We start from the raw sequence: 7,768 nt of genomic DNA, 5'->3' as shown, positions 1-7,768 counted from the left end.
CTTCAAGCTCCCTGGCTTGAGCGTTGAGGGATAAGAAGGGTTTGGATGGATAGAAGGGGGACATAAAGAGATAGCTGGGGGAAAGAGCAAGTAGTAAGCCAGGTAAGCCTGACCTAACCATGGATGGGAGAATAGGAAGGAAATCGGCTTGTTTATAGACAGGAGTTATATTTGGGAATAGCAAGTACCTGAGTTTGTATATTTAGGTAAGCCAAGAACATTAATCTTGAAGTGATAAAAGGACTTTGAACTTAATCTGATAGGCAATAGAAAACAATTGCTAACTATTTCCAAGAAAGTGGCAGAAAAGGTTTGGGCATATGAATCTATCATTGGTGCAAGAAATTATTTGGGAGGATGAGTATTATGGGGTAGTCAGGGGGATGGAAGTTCTGCTATAATCCATATGTGAGATTATGAGAAGCCAGACAGCCATAGAAGTAGTAGAGTAGGGGAGAAACAAGAGGAAGGAATCTAGGAATTGCTGAAAAGTCTTGATTCAGTTCACAAACACTCACTGAGTGCTTGCTAAACGCAAGAGCTTCTGCTATGTTTAGGGGAATCAGTGGAGAACAAGACACACAAACCCCTGACGTGCCAGCATTTGCCTTCTAGTGAGGGGGCCAGACAATGAAAGAAGCAGGGAGTTACAGCACAGAGTCATAGGTATTCTGATGGGACAAGTGAGTGTATTCTCCATGGACACATACAAAATGATTCCCAGACCTACAGGGACAAGGGGAGTGGTGGAGAGTCTGGGAAGATAGTTAAATAAAATGACATGTAATATAAGAGGATGGGTTTGGAGAAAAAAAAGTACTCTGGGCATGCTATAAAATGGGGAAAAAGTGTCACATACCCAACAAAATACACACAGAAAACACACATACCTTAGAGGCAGCTCTCAATCTTCAAACCATTTCTACTTGACAAATGGCAGAGCCTTAGATTAAAGACTTCCTTTTCGACTTGAAGATAATGGAAGCTGATCAGGTTTGTATCCTGTTTTTGTTTTTTTTTTTTCCTGGAAATACATAATCTTAAAGCATAGGAGGAAGGTATCAAGATCCTTGCTCTAGGCAGCTGCTGGCTGAAACAAGAGCATGATATACTTCAAAGTATGTAGAGAGACAAATAAGGCTTTGGAGAACAAGACGTGCCTGTTTTTAAAAAAATATATGCGGTGATACCGTATTATCAGCTTACATCTGGATACCAAGGTTATTGCTCTAGTTACAGAGACTCACTTGGAACAGCAAAGGGCAGGAGGGATGCACCATCCTGTGCACTCATGAGCTTAATGACGGAGGAGCAGGTAGAGTACACAAAACAAGCTTATGGACCACTAGAACTGATGATGGCTTCCTTCTTTAATAAAGGAAATACTGGAAGAGAAACAGGTTTGGAGCATGTTGGGGGGTGGGGAAAATTATTGTTCACTTAACACATGAGTCTGAAGTACCTATGGGACATGCAGATGGAGATATCCAATTTGCAGGTGAATCTGAGCTCGGAGAAGCGGTCAAGACACCCTGTATAATGAATACTTTCCTTTAAAAGAAGAAAAGATCTGAAGGGAATATCGGAAAATTTTAACATCTATTAAGTCTTTTTAGTGGAGATTAGGAGGAGTTTGAATCACCCAAGAACCATCTTCTTGAGCTAATATTTTTGCATAATTATATTTTTATTAAATGAAGTATTTCAAACAGAAATAAATGTTCGGGGAATCACTTAACAAACACAACTATCAACTAACAGCAGCTCTAAGAATTTACATCAATTTACCCAGAAACAACAAAGGCCAGCAGACAAAAAATTCCACTCGTCCACTTCTCTCCCACCTTGTGTCCCATCCTCTGTTCCTCAGCCCCTTTCTCCTTCCCCTTCCATTTTTGTCATGCCCTTCCCTCTATCCTACTTTTGCTTTTTTCTCGACCATTCTTCATCATCTCCAGCTGGTATAGACTTTACAAGATATGACCTTGTCCTTCCACATGATTCAGTTCATTACATCTTCCTGTGTAGCTCCCCAGCTTTCCATAGCCCATGATGGAGCCTGGGAAAAGGAGGGTGACTGCTCTCCGCAGGACTCATATACCCAGGTGCTTCCTCCTTTTCACCCTAAAGAATTTCTGGCCTCCAAAAACAATTTATAGATACCAACAGCATTCCCAACAGAAAGCACTGCACTCCTAACCAAGTATCATTCTGCATCTTACATGGCTCTCCATACTCAGCTTGCTCTTAAAATTTTACTCATCTCCTGTTTTCCTCCTTACTTTCAAACCTGAGTTGAAGTCATTCACTGTGGTCATAAGAGAACAAACATTTTTGTCGATATCAAACCCCTCAACATAGAAAAATCTGGGATAAATATTTTAATCCCCCATGGCCAGGAGCAGTGTGACCTAGCAATTGAATATTCAATTTAGAAGTCTACATTTTAATCCCTGTTCAAATTTAAGATAACTTTTCTCGACCTTCCATCCTAACCAACCTTAAATATCCAACTCCTTCCTGAAATCTTCTCTGACTATTTTAGTTCACTTTATTATTTCCCTTTTCCCAATGACCACAGTACAGTCATCTCTCAGTATACTAGGGGGATTGATTCTAGCACTCCCATGAATATCAAAATCCGCAGATGCTCAAGTCTTTTGTATAAAATGGCATAGTATTTGCATATAACTTACACACATCTTCCTGTATACTTTAAATCATCTCTAGATTACTTATAATACCTAATACTATGTAAATGCTATGTAAATAGTCACCATACTGTATTGTTTTTATTTGTATTCTTTTTATTGTTGTATAGTTACTTTTTAATTTTTTTCCAAATATTTTTGATCTGCAGTTGTTTGAATCTGCAGATGTGGAAACTGCAGATATGGAGGGTCAACTGTATTCACATCAAACCAAAACAATTGAAATTAATCTAATCAAGTACTTGCATATGTTGCAATTAAGTGATTTCACCAAGACTCCTGCATCCTTCCAGGCACTAGCATAATGGGAACCAAATCGTAGTTTGGTTGGAGTAAATATTAATCCATGCTCATACACATGTTGGGAGTGGAAAGAAGAAAAGTCAGGTCTGATAAAGGCCAGCTAGAAAGCCAGCATTTTTTTTTTTGAAGCAGAGTTTCGCTTTTGTTGCTCTGGCTGGAGTGCAACGGTGTGATCTCGGCTCACTGCAACCTCCACCTCTGGGCTTCAAGCAATTCTCCTGCCTCAGCCTCCCAAGTAGCTGGGATTTCAGGCGTGTACCACCATGCCCAGCTAGTTTTGTATTTTTAGTACAGACAGGGTTTCAGGAGTTCGAGACCAGCCTGGCCAGCATGCTTTTATGTGGGATCTAGGGAGTGACTAGACAGCTGCTGTGTCCCCACCAACCTGCCCGTGCATCTCACTGCCACAATACAGCTTGGAGTGTCACTATATTATGTATGTATCCTGAGTCATCTGTTCCTCAGGAAAAAGCAGAGACAGGAACACGAAAAGGGAAGGGTAGCACTCTATGTACATTCACCGACAAGTTTCCTCAAAGATGTAACATATTACAAAATATCTCTAAAGGATTCTCATTTCTCACAGCATAAACTGTCATAAAACATGCAAGTAGCTGTATCTGTTTCCTAATGAAATTTATTTTTATCCCTTCCCTGAGGCCTCACGATAACTTCAGTAAGAGGAAATGTGAATTCAAGTGGAAGCAGGGGGACTGCAGATGGTCCATCTGCCTGTTAGGATGGGTTGAGGAGTGGGATTTATATAAGTAGGATGGATAGTAGATAAATAGATAGATCGATAGATAGATGGACAGACACATAATTTATTGAGCATGTACTCTGTACCAGGTACTGTGTTAAATCCATTACAAAGATTATCCCATGAGGTGGTTAGACTATTATTCTCTCTATTTTAGAGAGGATGAAACTGAGGATCATAGAATTTAAGTAATTTGCCCAAGGTCAACACCTAGAAAGTTGAAGTGTCAGGGTTTGCTGCCGGTCTGGTTCTAGAACCCAAATTCTTAACCCTTAATGCTTAATGTTCTGAATATAAAAAGGAAGTTTAAGCCTAGTGAACCCTTTCTGTATCTCTACTTTACCATTAGCAAAATGTCTATGAACACCTGAAAAGTTTCTTCTCAAGAATGTTTCTGCATAGAAAATTTGGGCACTGGAGAGGGCTGTGAAGAAATGATCTCTAACATCTTCTCCAACCGCAAGTTTATCCTAAAAATTTACTGTGTGAGTACAGCAAGTTTTATTTTATTGCTCTTTAAAACTGAAGGGAAGGCTGGGTGCAGTGTTTCACACCTGTAATCCCAGCACTTTGGGAGGCCGAGGCGGGCAGATCACTTAAGGCCAGGAGTTCAAGACCAGTCTGGCCAACATGGCAAAAGCCCATCTCCACTAAAAATACAAAAAGTAGCTGGGCGTGGTGGCATTTGCCTGTAGTCCCAGCTACTCGGGAGGCTGAGGTGGGAGAATCACTTGAACCCGGAGGCAAAAGTTTCAGTGAGCCAAGATCATGCCACTGCACTCTAGCCTAGGCGACAGAAAGAGATGCTGTCTAAAAAAATACAATAAAATAAAAACTGAGGGGAAGATAGATATCATCCCTCTGGGATTAATTTTTGAGTGCTAAGTAGTTAGAAGTTTATTCAAAGCATTTGAAGAAAGGACATGGCCAAATTGCTGTGTTCAGAAGGCTATTTTAACCATATCCCTTTCCACCCATCCCTAACACCCAAACACGCATATTCGTCCAGCTAATTGCACTTTCTCCTTCAAAATCTCTGCTCAAGGTTTTCCTCCTCGAAGAATCCCTCGCTGCCTGCGCCCCTCAGCGGGATCTCATCCATGTCCATTGGGTCCCTGCCTTGTTATAGGTTTTATTACATTGTCCCGTCATCATGGATTTTCGTGTTAGTCTCTCCTGCTGAACTGCATGTGTCTTAGGGATTGTAAGTATGCCATCTGTGTATAGCAGTTTCCAGTCTAGTGCATGACACTGAAAAGACACTTAATATATGCTAGTAATAAAGTAATATACCATAACAATATAGAGCCTCTAAGCCTGAGGAAAGGACCCTCATCTTTACTGTGGGGAGCTACTGGCTGAAGTCAGCTCAAGACACCTTTCCAACCAATGTGCAAACCGTGACAGCCTGTGTGAGAGCCCAGGGCAATCAGATAAATCCCCAGTTGCAAACCTTTATGGTTTTCAGGGTAAAATACCTCAGAGACAATTGTTCTCACTTGTCATTTCAAATATTTAAAGTCACCATTCCCTAGAGCTGCTGCTGTTGACAAGCACCATGGTGAACATCTCTGGGTCTTTTCACCTGTCGGAGAGGTCTGAGGACAGAAGGGTTTAAGAAAGGAGCATGGCCTTTTTTTTTTTCAAGCATGGCCTTGTTTTTCTCTACACTCTTGCATAAGGTTTTCTTGCCACGTTTTTTTAATGTATAGATTTTTGTCCACGGTCATATGAGTGGCTTTGCTGGATGCAGAATTCAGGTTTCCTGACCCCCAGGCGGCTATATTTCTACCAGTTGATTTCAACTCTTTCATCAGAATGAAGTCAAGCCTCACCTCCTCCAAGAAGCCTTCAGTGACCTGCTCCCCAAGTCACATTTAAATGCCCTCCTCCGTGCTCTCAGTGCGCTGTGTGTGCTTCTAGTGCGGCACTTATTACCCTGGTCAGAAGACGGGCTGATTAACTTGTCTGTTTTCTACTAGGCTGTTCGCTGTAGAGAACCAAAAGCACGTCTCATATCCCATTGCCTCAAACCATGCCACACAAACAGACTCTTACATTAATTATCTCCCTGTTTCTTCCTGGTTGGGGAGGGGGAGGAGTAAATATTTTTTGATAGTTTGTGCTTTTCGTGAGGTCCATTTTTGCACGTCCCACTGCTACAGGGAGCAGGGAGAAAGATTTTAGTGTGGTTTACCATGTTAAGATCCAGGGTAATGATAAAGGTTGCCTACATAAACTCTAGGAGCCCTTCCAGCTCCCGAAATCTAAAAAGTAATTTTATTCGATGCCATCTTCTTTTCCCCCTCCTGCAAAGCCCTGCTTCCTGCTCAACCAACATTAGAGAAAATAGGGTTGCACTGAACTGAGCAGCCATCTGAAGGCTGATGTTATAAACACTCCCTGGGACTTCATAGCAGTCAGGAGGGCTGAACTGCGTGTCAATTCAAAGACCAGTCCAGCTGCTATCCTGGGATGAGGGATCACAGGGAGAAGATGCTGAAACAACTGTTATAGATTTTACTGGCAGTGGCTTTTGACAGACTAGAATGGAAACGATAATTGGTGAAGACGTCTTAGAGGTCACTAGTGAGTAGGAGAAAGCTCTCTGGCTTTCATTAATAGCAGCATCTGCCTGAACTGGATAATAACCTTGAAGATAGTAGCTTGAAAAATGAATTCATATTGGGAGAAAGTCCGGGACCACTTCTAAATAGCAGCTTATAGCCTTTCAGAAACAAGTGCTATAATGAGAGTCAAGTATTTCTCTTTAAAAGATTCTTTGCTACAAATTCAGGTAGTCAAATAACTGTACCCCAGTTTTATTAGAAAACAAACCTTCTAAATTAACAAATAAGCTAAAGTCATTAGTGAGCATTTTCAGTAACAAATATATGTTTCTTAGTGGAATAAAGAGAAGATAAAGAATTTAGCTTTTTCCTTCCTGGTTGCAAATGACCTTAAAAGATATTTTAAATAATAAATGTCCATTAACTAGTCTTGAAATAATTGCATTTAAACCAATTTTATGATCATATAGAACCACATTTTACATCATACCGAAGCAAGAGAAAAGTGCTGTATATTGCAGCTATTGGGCAGTAATAGAAGGCTGTCTTGTGAGAGGATTAATATTCAGGGCATCAAAAGACTACAGGTGTCCCCCAGATGTGGTATCACCAGCTTGTGGTATCGGTCTCCTTTTCTCCCATCAAAAGATGAACAAAGAACCAGATCATAAAAGAGAAAAAGTTTCTCGAAATGTCATCCTTTTTAAAGACAAATAAGTATACAAAAATCAGCCAGGCGTGGTGGCATACACCTAGTAGTCCCAGCTGCTTTGGGGGGCTGGGGCAGGAGGATACCTTGAACCCAGGAGGTCAAGGTTGTAGTGAGCCGAGATTGCACCACCGCACTCCAGCCTGAGTGACAAAGTGAGACCCTGTCTCAAAAAAAAAAAAAAAAAGGCAAATAAGTTACTTAACAGAGTGGGAGGGTTCTTTCCGTAGCCTCCACCACAAATGCAGGTTAGTTTCTCCAACTGACTAATTGTCACCTGAGAAGGTAGAGGAAATCTGCTAATATTTACCAACATTGTAGCGTGACTAAGGAAATGAGCTGCAGAAATGCAGGACATCATTTTGTCATTAGTTGGTTAGTTAGCATCTTCTCTTTGCACATGATCTACAATGTAAGTCACCATCATTATTATCTGGGTTTTTCTGTTCATATCAAAGTTTTCTAATATGATGGTGTTGCTTAGGAGAGAGAACGACATAGAGAAGCCTGCCCTTCTCCTTCACTTCTGCACTTTGTAAAGTGAGAGAGGGAAGGAGGGAAAAAGTGAGGATATTTTCGTCTCAGAATAAAAAATTTGCATTATTGGTATTCAGTAAGAGAGTTCTTATGCTCTTGGGAGAAACAGAAAAAAAATCTTTAGAGAGAAACCTCATATATTGTGATATTGTGATACCATAGGCAAAAAAGAGTTCAA

This window comes from Homo sapiens, chromosome 1 (assembly GCF_000001405.40).
Source record: "Homo sapiens chromosome 1, GRCh38.p14 Primary Assembly".
Taxonomy (NCBI): domain Eukaryota; kingdom Metazoa; phylum Chordata; class Mammalia; order Primates; family Hominidae; genus Homo; species Homo sapiens.
The sequence above is the reverse complement of the archived record's forward strand: the minus strand, read 5'-3'. Positions refer to the sequence as shown.